Here is a 16,315-nt window from a genome sequence, read left to right as displayed (position 1 = left end):
ATAGATGCCCACAAAGGGCACAATTACAGAGACCTCGCCCCTTTCTTTTGCTCTTTATATCTCTCTATTCTCTCTCTCTTTCTCCCCACCCCCCCGCCCCCCACACACAAATACTTAACCAATTAAGTCCGTCGAGTGCTATTTGCAGATGATGGTGTGGAATTGTGCTGGAGTTGTGTCCGGCCTCATTAAATGTCAGGATTAACAATACAGCAGTTGGCAATCAAGGCTGTTCTGTGGCTGTTAGTCATTAATCACCATCTGACAGTCCTGAATTGGAAACGAGGAGCCTGTTCACATGTGCTCTGTGTACCTAGTTACCCTCTTGGTAATCAGTCTTGGAAAAGTTTTCTTTGACTCCCTGCCTGCAAAGGCCTCTGTCCTGGCGAGGAGGCACAGGGTCACTGGGCTTTCTCCCCTCTCCTCCTCCTCCTCCCCCTCACTGGGAAAAGAAGTTGAGGTCCTGTAAAAACAAGGGGAGAGAGAAGCGTATTGTTTTTGGCCTGCTCTTTCCCTCTTAGGCCTGTTTTATGTAGCCTTGTTTTTATATTCTGGCCCGATGGCCAGGAAAATTCTTTTTCTCCCTGAAGAAATCCTAAAAGACAGCAGGGAGCCCGGTCCTGTTCCAAGAGCTGCTGGGGTAAGTTTGTAAAGTGCAGTCCTTCCCCAGCTGCTCAGGTGTGGACCTCTCTCTGCAAGAAGGGCCACTTGACTCGTTTCAGGTATTGCTACCAGCAACTCGGGCCTGACTTCGGGCAGGTCTTCTGGATCTGTCTGCAGAATCGAGAGGAAGGACCAGTTTCTTTTTGGGGTCCATTCTCTAGACCTTGCTTTATTCATTCATTCATGCATTCAAGAAATATCTATTGAGAGCCCATTACCTGCCAGGCACAGACTGGGCATGGAGGCTACAGCAGTAAATGCACAGGCAAAGCCTGTGCCCTCATGGTGGTTGCCTTTGCGGGGGAGATAAGCTTCTGCCACAGAAACCCATATTGTGGCTGGGAAGCGCTCGAGCCCTGGACTCTCACTGTGCATTGCCTGGCTGCCAGGCCTTTCCAGGGTGCCAATCCTGAAGCTGCCCTTCCTGGGAAAATGTTCTTATTTCAGAGCCTGCCTGACCTGGCTCCTTCTCCCCTTCAATGGTCTCCTGTCTCATTCCCTTCAGACGCTGCCTCTGTTTTTCTAGATACTGGCTATTCCCAAACATGTTGGGGTGACACTGATGTATTAACAGGGCTGTCTTCTCCCCCCATCCCTTTCCTGGGCATGGATTATGGTGTTTTTGCAGGATTTCATTCCTTAACTCCAAGGATTGACTTGAGGGCATCATTTCAGCTGCCATGGGGAGTTGGTAGAGATGGAGGTCACTGACCACCCTGTCCCCAGGGGGTCCTCTCTGCCTACCTCTAGGGTTTGTAGCCATGCCCAGAGTCCTTAGTGTGAGTCTTCTTTCCCCAAGACCTTCCTTCCTGTTCTGGACAGGGGAGGCTGACTGGAGAAGAAAGTCTTCTGCAACAGCCAGGCCCTGGGCCCTCGGTAGGTGGCGTGCCCTCTTCCTCTCCTTCCTGATCACCGTTACTTCCATCTTTCTTTCTCTTTCTTTCTTTCTATCTTTCTTTCCTTCCTTCCTTCCTTCCTTCCTTCCTTCCTTCCTTCCTTCCTTCCTTCCTTCCTTCCTTTCTTTCTTTCTTTCTTTCTTTCTTTCTTTCTTTCTTTCTTTCTTTCTCTTTCTCTCTCTCTCTCCCTTCCTCCCTTCCTTCTTTTCCTTCTTTTCTTTCTTTTCTTTCTATAGGAAGACTCCCGCAAGACGCTCTTGTCGCCCAGGCAGGAGTGCAGAGGTGCATTCTTGGCTCACTGCAACCTCCGCCTCCTGGGCTCAAGCAATTCTGCCTCAGCCTCCGGAGTAGCTGGGATTATAGGTGCCCACCACCAGGCCCGGCTAATTTTTGTATTTTTAGTAGAGATGGGGTTTCACCATGTTGGTCAGGTTGGTCTTGACCTCCTGACCTCAGGTGATCCGCCCACCTCAGCCTCCCAAAGTGCTGGGATTACAGGTGTGAGCTACCATGCCCGGCCTCTGATTACGGCTTCTATTGTTTCTTCTTTGAGTTTCACTCCCAGGTCTCTTCCCTCACCCACCTGATGACTTCAGTTCAAAGGCATTGACACATGTTTTAGCCCTTTAGTGGTTTTCAATGAATGGAACACTGCAAGCATTTGTTGATGCCCCATTGCATGACTGGCACTGTCTCAGGCACAGAGGACACACAGAGGAATAAAATGCCTTTCTTGCCTTTAAGAAACATGTGGTCCAGTGGAGGGAGAGGAGAGGCACTCCCAAAGAGAAGAACTGTCAGGGAGATAAAGAGTTCAGGATATACAAAGCAAGGGGAAACCGCGATTGCTCAGGGTAAAAATGAGAGCCGTGACTGTGTGAGAAGGGGAGCAGATGCTGAGGAAGAAGGAGCAACTCACTGCTAGAGCTCAGCGTCCAGGAAACAGTGAGTGGTTGCGTTTGGCTCCTGTCATTGGTTCTGGTAGGGGCAGTGGAAAGATACGTTGGGGACATCTGCGGGGGACTCAAATGCTAGGTGAAAAATTTGGCCCTATTAGACAATGCGGAGCCAGTGAAGGCCTATGTACCTCCAAAAGTAAGAAACACGCTCTTGTATATTTCATTAAACACTGATCTTTCTGGAAGAGAGAAGGCTTGAGTTGCTCTCCAGCTTCACACTCCCTGCAAGAACCTTGTACTTATAAACTGATTTGTGTGATGATTATTTGAATTTTTGCCTGCATGAGCAACTGTCCATGCCACAGCTGTAGGAGTTGGAGAAGTTCAGGCTGTTTCCTGGGGCTGCCTTGCAACTTGCTGAGAGATCCCATCCTGCATAGGCTCAGTCTCCGTTCCCCTGCTCCCTTGCCTTGGTGCTCAGATGCCATGCCTTGACCACCCTTTTTTTTTTTTTTTTTTTTTGAGATGAAGTCTCACTCTATCACCCAGGCTGGACTTCAGTGGCATGATCTAGGCTCACTGCAACCTCCGCCTCCAGGGTTCAAGCGATTCTTTCACCTCAGGCTCCTGAGTTGCTGGAACTATAGGTGTGCCCCACCACGCCTGGCTAATTTTTGTATTTTTAATAGAGATGGGGTTTTACCATGTTGTCTAGGCTGGTCTTGAACTCCTGACCTCAAGTGATCAGCCCACCTCGGTCTCCCAAAGTGTTGGGATTATAGGTGTGAGCCATCGCACCTGGCAACCTGGACCACCCTTGGCTTCCTTTCCCATTCCTAGCTCTTCCCTCTTCCGGTTCCTCCTGGGCTTTGCTGAGTTACTGAATTTTGTCCTTCCATGAAGGCACAGCTAAAAGGGAAATCACCTTCATGACAGGGGAATCTGCCTGGGATTCATGTGCGGCTTTCCCCAGCTTGACACACTCTTCTCTCTGTACCTGGTTAACCCCACTCAGCCATCAGGCCTCAGCTTCAATGGTGCATTCCTAAAGAGACTCTTCCTGACCTTAGTCAGGAGGGGTCCGTTGTTGTAACCTTTCTGTGTGCACTACACAACACTTTGTACTTTTTCTTTGTCACTACTACAACTTATAATTGTATATTGATTTGTTTAGTTTTGTCTCCTTATTAGTCTGTAAGCTCCATGAAGGCAGGAGCTGCATGTCTTTTCTCTCACTATTATAGCCCCAAAATCTAGCCCAGTGCCTGGCATGTAGTAGATGCTCAGTAAATGGTACTGAACGAATGAATGGATGGTCTCGGGTCCATCTGTGGGCTGGATGATCTCAGAGCATCTATCCAGTAGCTTAGGGCGGGGAAACTATAGAATTTCTCCCTTTTTCTACATCTCCCTCTCTCTCTTCTTCCTTCCTTCTTTCCTTCTTTCCTTTTTAAAAAATTGAGACAGGGTCTTGCTCTGTCACCCAGGCTGGAGTATAGTGGTGCAATCACAGCTCGCTGCAGCCTTGATGTCCTGGGCTCAAGTGATCCTCTTGCATAAGCCTCTGGAGTAGCTGAGACTACAGGTGCATGACACCACACTGAGATAACAAAAAAAAAAAAAAATTTTTTTTTAGAGATGGGGTCTTGCTATACTGTCCAGGCTGGCCTCAAACTCCTGGCCTCAAGTAATCCTCCCTCCTTGGCCTCCCAAAGTACTGGGATTATGTGTGTGAACCACTGCACCTGGTCATCTTTCTTTTTTCTTTCTTTCTCTCCCTTTCCATAAGGGAGAGGGAGAGAAGAAAATGGGGAGTGAGGAGCATAGGCTCTTGCGAAGCCTCCCTCATGGCCTGCCCATGATGGTGACAACCCTGTAACAGGGACCCAACTTCTCCTCTGACAGAGGTACCCTGGGCTTGAAAAAGAAATCTATGAATGTTCCAAAAAGAAACAGCAAGTTCTGAACCCCACTTGCCCTCCACCCACCTGTTCCCAAAGGATTCTGAGCTTGAAACCCCAAAGAAGCTGTGGGCACCATTCTTTTCCCCAAGTATGAATGAGCTGCTGTCTGCTGGGAAGACAGGGAAACAGAAGGAGGTGGGGGAACAGAGTCTAGAGCAGGGGTGGTTTAAGGCACCAGCACAGAAGGAAAGTTAGCATTAAGAGTGCATGGGAGAGTTGGGCGTGGTGGCTCACACCTGTAATCCCAGCACTTTGGGAGGCTGAGGTAGGTGGATCACTTGAGTTCAAGACCAGCCTGGCCAACATGGTGAAATCCCGTCTCTACTAAAAATACAAAAATTAGCCAGGCATGGTGGCGCATGCCTGTAATCCCATAATCCCAGCTACTTGGGAGGCTGAGGCAGGAGAGTTGCCTGAACCTGGGAGGCAGAGGCTGCAGTGAGCCGAGATTGGGCCACTGCACTCCAGCCTGGGTGACAGAGCTAGACTCTGTCTCACAAAAAAAAAAAAAAAAAAGGTGCATGGGAGAACACCCTCATCTCCTTACCCCTCTTCAAAGTGCTCTCCCTGCTGAGTGGGCTTGAGGGGTGTAAATGAGAGTGGAAGGAGACACCGAAGTGGGCGTAGCTCTCAAGGCATGTGGGGACGAGGGAGGCTCTTCACCCTAATAGTGGCTCTCAACCCAGGCTGATACCACCGCCAAGGGCATCTGGATTATTCTGATGGTCCTCATGGTTGAGAGGCATTACAAGCAATTGGTATCTTGAGACTAAGGATGCTAAACCTTCTACCTTGCACAGAAGGGTCCTGCTCAGTAAAGAAGTGTCTTGCCCAAATATCAAGAGTGTCTCCTTTAATAAATACTGTGGGGTAAGTGAAAAGCAGGGACTTTGATGCTGGATCCCTTTGGGGCCTTAGACACTCCATGGTTTCTGTCCCTAGAGCTCCTGAGTTGCATGGAGAGAAAGCAGAGAGGCCCGTCCCTGACCATCAGGGCATGGGACGTAAGCTGAAGGAGAGCCTGGGTCACCATCCCCTTCTGTTTCTTCTCCACCCTCCCTCAGCGCCCCGCCACTCTGTACAGATTTCTGGCAGGCCTGGCTCACTCAGCCAGGCCTCACTCAGCCGTGATGCCTAACTTTTTCCATATGCAAAGGCTGCTCCCGCTTCAGAAACACGAGAGAGGGCCGCGGGAGATGCACAGCCAGAGGGACTGTGGTGGAGGTGAGGGGCGGCCTGGGGAATGGGAAAGGTTTTTTGGGGGGTGTCACCATGAGGGGAAGTGCTGGGGAAGTCCACGGCAACACGTTCTAGCCTGTTTGGAGGCCGGCTGTTGGCACCAGGAGAAATCCATCCTGCAGAGCCAACCCTCATTAATCATCCGGGCGGCTGAACTGCCAGCTCCTTTCAAGATCTTTCAAGAAGGGTTTTCACCCAAAATAGAGTTGAAAATGTGCTGGGCCCTACTCAGAATCTCATCAGTCTGGGCATTATGGGAAGTGTCAGGCGGACTGTGACAGACAAGGCCCACTCTGTTCAAGGGGTCCTGACTCCCACAGCCTGTCATATCAAGCGCCTGATCAAATTTGACAGCTTCATTTGTACCTACAGAATAGATAAAAGGGGCTGTTCATTGAAACAAATGGAGGGGAAGGGGTGGGGGAGGGAAAGGAGGTGAGAGTGAGAGGGAACGTGTGTGTGTGTGTGTGTGTGTGTGTGTGTGTGTTGGGGGAAGAATGGCACTGGGGAAGGGGCAGGAAGGGGAAGATTATGGTGAGGGGCAAGGGTTGCCAAGAAGGATTCTGTCTAAGATCATTTTCTTCTCCAATACTTTCAAAGAAGGGAGAGGGGTCGGGGGCGGCAGGTGAGTATCAAGAGGGGATGGGAGTGAAAGCCCTACCTGTCAGTGTGACCATCACGAGCCTCCTGAGACCTCCTCTCTGTGCTGTGTGCCCTGAAGCAGTCACAGAGCCAGGAGGGTGGGCCCTGGGGACAGGGGAGCCCACAGTGAGTGGCTGGGACTAGGGGAGTCAGCCCCGGCGAGCGTGACACAGGTTTCAATTGCAGGCCCCATGCTACCTGTGCAGAGAGCCTTACCTTTCTCTGTGGCAGGCTTTGAATTGTGCCCCTTCTCTGCAGTGAGGCTGTTGCCCCTTCTTTGGCCAGGTTGCTGGGTGGCTGCACCTCTGCGTGTGGCCCTGAAGACCTGAATTCCTTAAGTTATACTTAGTGTACCTTTGTGCTCTCCGCACACAGAAGCTGGTTTGTGTGAGTGGGAGAGGTGTCCCGCAACACAGCTTGCGCTGTCCCGCCTTGGGCCTGGCTCTGGCTGCCCCACTGGCCTCGAAGACCTCTCCTTTCTCCTCTGGGGCTGAGTGAATGATGATCCCTTCCAGCTCCGAGGATGCTCTAAATACCTTGTACTTTATGTGGGTCCCCTTCACTTGTGATCGTACTTTACTTTGCATAACTAGTATGTGCTTGTATGGGTTTCCCTATTGATTGTAAACAGTTTGATGTCTGGGGCATGTCCTGTGCATCTTCCATCCTCCAATAGCATTTAGCACACATAATAGGTTCTTCAGAACTGCTTTTGATTGACAATTAGCATTCCACACACTGTAAGGCTCAACTGTGACCATCAGGAGGTGATCAGGGGATTGAAGGGCTCCTTTCTGATCTATGGTCTTTAGAAGAGAGGGCCAGAGGTTAGCAGGGCTCCCCCTATCCTACCCCCAGCCACGTGGCACCTTTGGAAGATTTAGAAGAAGGCCCCCTTCCAAGCTGATGCAGTCCCAGGTCTGGTGTCTGTGGAGCTCCCAGTTGTTCCCTTGGCCAGATGCTGTCCTGTGGGGCATTGCCTGCACAATAGTATGTGAAGGGTGGCCCTGGCCACAGGTAGACAGGTTTTTATAACCAGATAGCCTTGGTAGGAATCTTGCCTCTACTGCTTACTGGTTTTGTGGCCTTAGGCAAGATACATCCAACAATAGACTTGCTGCAGAGAATTGCTGCCAGGATTCAAGGAAAGCTTCTATGCAAAGTGCTCAGCACAGTGCCTGGCACACAGCAAGAGCTCAATAAATGTTAGAGAAAGAAAAAGGCTCATATCTGGTCTGCGATGCTCAGACTTCTTCATTTGAACTTACAGCAGCATTCTATTGACAGCTCTTGTTTGTCAGTGACCATGGATCATTATCACTTTGTATCAATCCTCTGCTTTTTGTAAGTTTCACAGATGCAAGCATTGTTAGAGTCCAATACACCAAAGATGCCTATCCTTCTCGTTAGGAGGGCTTGCCAATATGCTGCCTCCATGCTCAAATAGGTGATCCTCTGCAAGCCACCAGGTGGAGGTCTCAGTACTACAAAGTATGCAGAAGGTCACAAATTTCTATGAACTTCAGGGTCTCATAGGCCTGAGCCTTCTGTCCTAACCTTAGTGGAGACAGCCTAGTCTGGCTAGAGCAGTCCATCCCCAGATGCACCTGTGTTTCCTACAATTTCAGATGTAAGCTTTTAAGCTTTCTCCAGGTAGATAGGGCTCAGTGGGTTTGGAAGGGCTTCTGTTTGGTAAGGTCTGGGAAGCAGAGTGGAGGAGAGTAAAATGACCACAGACAGGGCAGTATCGAAGCTGCCGAGACAACAGCTGGGGTGGACTCACCTCCAGGCCTCCTTCTCCTCTGGCACCAGGGAGAAGCAATGTGCCACCCTTGCAGTTAGGAGGGGCCATGGGACCAGTGCTGGCCAGAAGATTGTGAGCAGAGGTGACATATTCATTTTTGGCCTGCAACATGTGATTGTTTGTGTGAGATGCTCCGGCTCTTCCTCTGTGTGTGTTCCTCTGCCAGTCAGTGGGCCTGATTAATTATGTGGCCCTGATTAATTATGTGGCACAGTTGATGCTTTCTGATGCATCGGTTTGGTTAGATTGAACTCCAGTCCCCAGTTACTAAATCAAACAAGAATCTAGGTGCTTCTGTGAAGGAATTTTGCAAATGTGATTGAAGTCCCTAATCAGTTGACTTTAAGTTGATCAAAAGAGAAGTGATCTAGGGTGGGCCTGACCTAATGAAGCAAGCCCTTTAAAAGGGGGCTTAGGCCTTCCTTGTTCTCAGAGACTCCACATGGCTCAAGCCAGCAGGGTGTCTTGTGATGCTGGCTTGTGATCTTCCCTTCCTGTCTGCCTGCCCTACAGACTTCCAACTCACTTAGCTAGCCATGATTGCGTAAGTGAACGCCTTGAAATAAATGACTCCATATATTACTGCTTCTGCTTCTCTGGTTGAACACTGACTGATAGAGATCCCCGTCAATTCACAATGGATACACAGTATAAGTGGAAAAAAAAAAGAGGACTTTGTTGTGTTAAGCCACTGAGATTTGTGTGTTAATTTGTTACCACCGTATAACCTAGCCTATACTCTTGATTACTGCAATGGCATTAATAGAGTCCTCAGCACATTATCTCTCTCTCTCTTTTTTTTTTTTGGAGACAGGGTCTTGCTCTGTTGCCCAGGCTGGAGTGTAGTGGCACAATCGTGGCAAACTACAGCCTTGACCTCCCCGGGCTCAGGTGATTCTCCCACCTCAGCTTCCTGAGTAGCTGGGACCACAGGCAAGCATCACCAGGCCTCTCTAATTTTTGTATTTTTTGTAGAAATGGGGTTTTGGCATGTTGTCCAGGCTGGTCTCGAACTCCTGGCCTCAAGTGATCCATCCACTTCAGTCTCCCAAAGTGTTGGGATTACAGGTGTGAGCCAATGTGCCTGGCCAGTGTGGGCTAAGATATAATGTGATATCTTAGTTTATACACCAATCTCCCATTTGACTGCAAACTCCTTGTGGCAAGGCCAGTATCTCCTCCATCTTTTGAATTCCCAGAGCAGACCAAAATACTTAGTAGGTAGTGGTCTGTAAATGTTTACTGAATGCTCAAACCCAATGCACTGACCAGCATCTCAGCTCTTGTTTGGGGCAGGACCAATTTCATTTGAATTGTACATAGTCAACTGGTCCCAACACACACAGGCACAGCCAGAACTTTCCAGGGAGCAGGCACCCTTATTCCATTTATCCATAGCATCTAGGCCTGCCAACATACAAAGTCTGAAGCTGCTTGGCTAAGTGTAAAGAGTTTTAGAGTCAGAACCATATTAGAATCCTGGCTTCATGCTCTTTAACTGTGAGATCTTGGGCAATTTTTTTTTTTTTTTCTGAGACAGAGTCTCACTCTGTCACCCAGGCTGGAGTGCAGTGGCGGCTCACTGCAACCTCTGCCTCCTTGGTTCAAGTGATTCTCCTGCCTCAGCCTCCTAAGTAGCTGGGATTACAGGTGTGTGCCACCATGCTCAGCTAATTTTTGTATTTTTTTGTAATTTTATATTGTAATTTTATATTTTTAGTAGAGACAGGGTTTCACCACATTGGCTAAGCTGGCCTCGAACTCCTGACCTCAGATGATCCGCCTGCCTTGGTCTCCCAAAGTGCTGGGATTACAGGCATGAGCCACTGCGCCCAGTCTTGGGCAATTTACTTGACCTCTATAAATTTTAGTTTTCATATAAAGAGAAACTAAAGGTTTGTTTTAAGAATTAAATGTCCAGTATATATTCGTATATTTAACTGTGCCATGGTACACACAAAATGATGCTTCCTGAGATGCCCTAGGGTGGGCCTGACCTATCCTTTCTGTATTTTTGGTGGTGCCCATGTTTGAAGCAGGAAGAGCACAGCCACAATGATTCCTGTGTGAACTGACTACAAACCCACATTATAGCTCACACCATGCATGCACATACACACACCCAGGAGAGCAAACAGGATAAGGACATGCAAGGGAATTCTCCAAATTGCTGTTTTCATTCTATAATTTGGCTCTGATTGGAACTCCAGAAGAGTCATTTTATTTTGTGTTCCAAAGAGCTGTGGAGATACTCCCTGCCCATTCAGAGCAGAGGTTCCCCAAACTGTGGTATAATTTTTGTCTACTTTCCCTCCCTCCCTCCCTTCCTTCCTTCCTTCTTTCCTTCCCTCCTTCCTCTCTCTCTCCTTCCTTCTTTCCTTCGTTCCTTCCTTTCTCTCTCTCTCCTTCCTTCCTTCATTCCTTCCTTTCTCTCTCTCTCCTTCCTTCCTTCTTTCCTTCCTTCCTTCCTTCCTTCCTTCCTCTCTCCTTCCTTCCTTCTTTCCTTCCTTCTTTCTTTCTTTCTTTCTTTCTTTCTTTCTTTCTTTCTTTCTTTCTTTCTTTCTTTCTTTTTCTTTCTCTTTCTTTCTTTCTTTCTTTCCTTCTCTTTCTTTCTCTTCCTCCCTCCCTTCCTCCCTCCCTCCCTTCCTTCTTCCTTCCTTCTTTCTCTCTCTCTTTCTTTCTGCCCCATTTTTCAAAAGCAACTGGCTGTAGGCTATGAAAAATCTGATTCTTTTTGTAGACCTTGATTTAACCTCACAGCAGTCTCAAAATTATTTTAAATAATTCCTAACCCACTTAAGCACCCCGACGTAGTCTCTGAAATCCCTACATCACCCTATACTCAGCATTGCATCAAATTAAATACAAATTTAATAATTCACTTTGTTGGAGTCAGTTCTCTGGGTGAAAAAATCCACACTGCAATATTCTTCCTGTGTTCCGGCTGGGCACGGTGGCTCATGCCTGTAATCCCATCTCTTTGGGAGGCTGATGTGGGCAGATCATTTGAGCCCAGGAGTTCAAGATCAGCCTGGGCAAGAGGGCGAAACACTGTCTCTACAAAAATTACAACAACAAAAAATTAGCTGGGCATGGTGGTATGCACCTGTAGCTCTAGCTACTCGGGAGGCTGAGGCAGGAGGATTGCTTGAGCCCCAGGGGTGGAGGTTGCAGTGAGCCGAGATTGAGCCACTGCACTCCAGCTTGGGCAACAGAGTGAGACCATGTCTCTCTCTCTCTGTATATATACCCTCCCTACCCACTCATTGCTGAGGTGAAGTCATGAGCCTTCTTTTCCTGGGTCTTCCCTGTTTGCTGTTCTGATAGGAAATTTAGAGTTGCATTTGATGAGGGCCAAAGACAGAGCATCCTAAGCAACTCTCACCATCATAATGCTTCACTCTTCCAACATTTTAGAAGATCATAGACTCTTCCAGTTAGAAAGGCCTTAAAGATTATAGGGCCCAACAACTTGATTTCAGAAATGGGAAAATAGGTTCAGAGAGACTAAGTGACTTCTTCAAAGCCACATGGCAATTAGGTTTTGAAACCAGAATAAAATCTAGGTTCTCTGACTCATTTCAATGCCCTTTCTAGTACATGCATAGTGACTGGATGTTCTGGACTTTCCAGGAGAGCCCTAAAGCTCATCAAAGTACACGTATACGATTTGTCTCCATTTTGAAGTTCATAAAACGTGGTCACTTTCAGCTGGGCATGCTGGCTCACGCCTATAATCCCAGCACTTTGGGAGGCTGAGGTGGGCAGATCATGAGGTCAGGAGTTCAAGACCAGCCTGGCCAACATGGTGAAACCTTGTCTGTACTAAAAATACAAAAATTAGCCAGGAGTGGTGGTGTGCACCTGTAATCCCAGCTACTCAGGAGGCTGAGGCAGGAGAATTGCTTGAACCTGGGAGGCAGAGACTGCAGTGAGCAGAAATTGCACCACTGCACTACAGCCTGGGCAGCAGATCAAGACTCCGTCTCGGAAAAAAAAAAAAAAAAAAAAAAAAAAATATATATATATATATATATATATATATATATATATATATATAGTATCTTCCTTTTCTCTCAGCCAACAGGTTCAAATTATTTTCTCTTAAGAAAAAGGCAACCCAGTTCATATGTAATCTAAATCTACTAGCAGCTTTTTCTGTTTTAGGAAGTGTTAATAATGCTGGTGATATGCCACCATCCCAGGAAAACCTGGAAAGGTATTTTTCATTTAGGAAGACTTACCAACCATTTCCATGCTGGGAATGCTGTGGGGGAGGTATAAGCTGATTAGGGAGAGAGTGGGTAGAAGAAAATTCAGATGTGTTTATATAGCCTTAATTAAGCCTGTTCCTTGATCTGCTCTAGAAATGGAAATTACTGACTCAGGGGCTCAGCCTTCTCATCACTATAGAATGAGAACCTCACCCATCTTCAAAAGAGCATGGGCTTAGGAGGAATTGGGGAGCCCCAGGTTCCCCTATATCAGCCCCAGTGAGCTCTCCCTCCTCCAGCTCCTGTGGCTGGCACGACCATCTGATCTGCACAATTAGCGCCTTATTATATCCTATCCTCTTCTCCGCTGTCTGCACAGAATGATTTAGCACTTTCTCAGATCAGCAGAAACGCAGTTATGTATAATGCAATCTTGCTCCCTGTCTCACGGGCGCATCTTGTCTCCCCCAGCTCAATGGGGCAGGAAGTTTGTCTGAGTTTTCTTCTGCATCTCACGGTATCCAGCATTGTGCTGGGCACCTAATAGGAATTCTGCAAAGTCTGTTTGCTTCGATGATGGCCACCTGGAAGTGAAATCCTCAAATAGTTGGGACTCTATTTTCAAGCTGCCATTTCTCAATTTTGGTCATTCGCTAACTCTTTTGTCAAAACATGAAATGTACAAGTGGAAAGAAGGCGGTATCACTCTCTGCAATAGAGGTCACTCCACCTTCTTCTCTTTGTAAAGGTGGAAACCAGCTGTTGGTCTATCAATTTACCGCAATGACACCCCCTGCCCTACCCTGGACTCCAGGGGTGGCTCTGCTTATGTTTTTCCCCTTACCTCGTGTCAGCATTTCCCTCTTCTGCCTCTCCCTCTGCTGGGTGCCTTTCCTGAACTTGGACTCAGGGGCTGACAGCTGGTTTCGGGGGACTGTCGGAGAAAATGTGGGCATGCTGAGAGTCACAATAGGGCGGGCTTTGTCCAGGGGCCATGGTGCGTCTCCACTGACCTTGGAACCGAGTGACCAGGGACGACCGAGGAGAGGCAGTTTCCTTCCCTTTCCGGGCTGCAGGTTTTTAATGTCTTCTTTGTTGGTCCGGGCCACTGGAGACTGAACTGAAGGGAGAGACTTTAGGCTGTTCCCTCCCTCCTGGATAAAATGGTGCATGCTTTTCCTGTTTAAACAGGGCCCAGTTGTGAAGTGCCCTGACTTCGCACACACCAAGGCCCGGCAACGGCTGCAATAAATCAATAGGAAAATAGAAGCTGCCAGTTAGACTAAACAAGTGCATTTGCAAAGACGGCTAGCCCTCATTAATCACTCTGACAGTCCTAAAAACACATTTCCCCTTTAATGACTGTATTTGGATAATCAGTGCTTTTTCCTCCTCAGTCAGAGTTTGAGTAACAGACAGCTGGTGTTATTACAGCCATTGGGGAGGGAGTGCTGGGATTAGGGTCGACGAAGAGCCATCCACTGGAGGTCTCCGAAAAAAAAAAAATGAAAACCGGGTTGGCTGCAAAGCTGTTGTTATGCAATAATGAGGGGGAGCTTTGTACTGCCATTGACGGCTCCCGGGCAGCCATGTGCAAAGTTTCCCCCAAACCTCGACACCCACCTGCATTATGTGAATACAAAGGCTTCATGTTGGGTTTTATGAGCTTTGGCAGATTTAACTGGGGTTGGGGAGGCAGGAGGCTCTCTGGCAGGGAGGTAAGAAGATGGGTTGATGTGATTTGGCTTTGTTTCCTTTAGGTGACTTTGGCTTTCAGGAGAAAGTTTGAAACCCGGCACATTCCTCTTTGTAAATGATGTAACACATTAATGCACAGCACATTATGAAAATGGTAATTCAAACCCATAGTGCTCCAAATTAAACCATACATTATCGGATGCACTCAACCATCTATTTTGCAAAAAGACAGGATGAATGAAATCAAATCAAACAGAAAACTGGAGTGCAGCTTCCCCTACAGAATGATTAATAAAGTGTAGAGCCACAGGATTATTGTAAGATGAATTCCACCGTAACCCAGACATACATCAGGAGGGAGTTAGTTCATATACCCAGAGATACAATCACAGTATGCTAGGTAGGGCAGAGCAATTATGGCTGCAGAAAGATGGGGAAGGGCCCCACACCTCCCGCTTGGGCTATGAATTTCTTAGGAGATGGGTTTGCGGGTGTACAGTTGGGAAGTTAAAAACTTAACACCACATGATTTTGTTTGAGTCCAGCCTATATCCAAGGGTGAGTCTTTCCCCTCTTTCTCCTCCTCCCTTCCTCCCATGGCTGCCACAAGGCCACAAAAATAACCAGGCAAGAGGTGTGAAAATAGGACCTGGAGCCAGGAACGTCCAGTGTCTCAAGTTCCAGCCCTGTGGCTTCCACCCTTCCTGGTGCTTTGGGAACACCGGCCCCATTTCTGGCGCCTGGGACAGATTAGGAGAAAGAGGCGGAGGAGGGCTGGGAAGAGGAGGTGGAGAAATGGAAGGTGGAGGTGACCCTCAAAGAAAGGGTTGCTGGAGGCATTAATTATTCAAATAAGCACTGGATAGGGGAGCACCACCTCCATTAAGATGGCAACTTTGTTTAATGGGAATTAAGCTATTGAAAGTAACAAACTTTTCATCAGCTTATTAAAACTGTCACATTTCTTAGGTGGGGAGAGCCATCTTTTCAGAGTAGAACTGGACACTCCAGACTATGTGACCTGCCCTTTGCGGCCACAATGGTAGTTGGGGGCAGCCTATTCCCACCAGGCCCAACAGTGAACTTCCCAGTCACCAAAGGCCACCAATACATTTTATGGGGGAAACTCTGTAGTCTAAGGAGTTCTCTAACTGCATTCTTACACCTAAGGTATAAGCCAAACACCTTTTAGAACAGTTTCTTTTGGTATAGGGAATTTGCTGGTTGTGCGTCCCTTCCTTCCTTCCTCCCAACAAGAGGAGCCCTTTGGTTTGTAGATAGGGAGGTCTGAAGACTTGAAGTGTAAGAAAGCAAAGTTTAAGTCGCCCTACAGAGGGAGCAATTTCCATCATTTTTAGCAGGCATTAAAAAACATAGTGAGGGGGTGGGTCTCTGAAGGAAAGAGGGGCCTTCAGAGGAAGGGAAGATGGCAAAGAAATAATAAACAACGAACAAAACAACAGAAAAAGAAACAATAAAGCCACGAGTCGCTACATTTAGTTCGTTTAAAGATTCGGGCCAGATTGAACCCCGAGAAATTGGATAATGCTGGTTTCCCAGGAAGACCCTGATCTGGTCTCAGGGCACTTTCTCTAATTCGGGTTTCCCAGTGCCCAGTGGTAGGAGCACCCCAGGATCCCTTTCCTTTTGCTAGATCCAAAGATTTGGTAAAACACACACACACACACACACACACACACACACACACACACACACACAAACACACACACACACACACACACACACACACACACACACGCCCTGTCTGTCGTCGAGTTTGTGGACAACCAAAAACAGCGCAGAGAAACCGGCCCCATCCTACGCACTGCACTTGACCTCGGGCCACAGACGTTTCAAAAGCATGCACCTTTCAGAGCACGAACTCCCAAGTCGCATTCCTTACAGAAAAAGCAAACAGCACAACCCCAACGACAGATCCCACGAGGAGCGCGGCCAGGAAGCGGCGCAGGAGGCGGTTTTGCAGAGCGTCCCATTGGCCCCGCGCGCCCAGGCCCTTGCGCAGGGAGCAAGCGCCCCCGGCCCGATGGAGCGGGGTCCTGGCGTCGGGCAGCCGAAGTCTGAGCCGCCGTGCCTTGGCGGGCGCAGCCCGCTCTCGCTGCTGGGGGTAGGGCAGCGAGTCTGCATTGGGCTGGACGTGGCTGGGCCTCCCAGAGCTGTCCCTTCTCTCCTCCCGCCTTGGACACTCGCGCAGGGCCTGTCTATGGTACAGGGGGCAGGCTCCCTGGCCAACACGTCAGTAAACAGCACCCGCCCTCTCTTGCCCGAGGATGCAGAG

This window comes from Homo sapiens, chromosome 8 (assembly GCF_000001405.40).
Source record: "Homo sapiens chromosome 8, GRCh38.p14 Primary Assembly".
In the NCBI taxonomy this organism is placed as follows: Eukaryota; Metazoa; Chordata; class Mammalia; order Primates; family Hominidae; genus Homo; species Homo sapiens.
Note: the sequence above shows the minus strand (reverse complement) of the source record.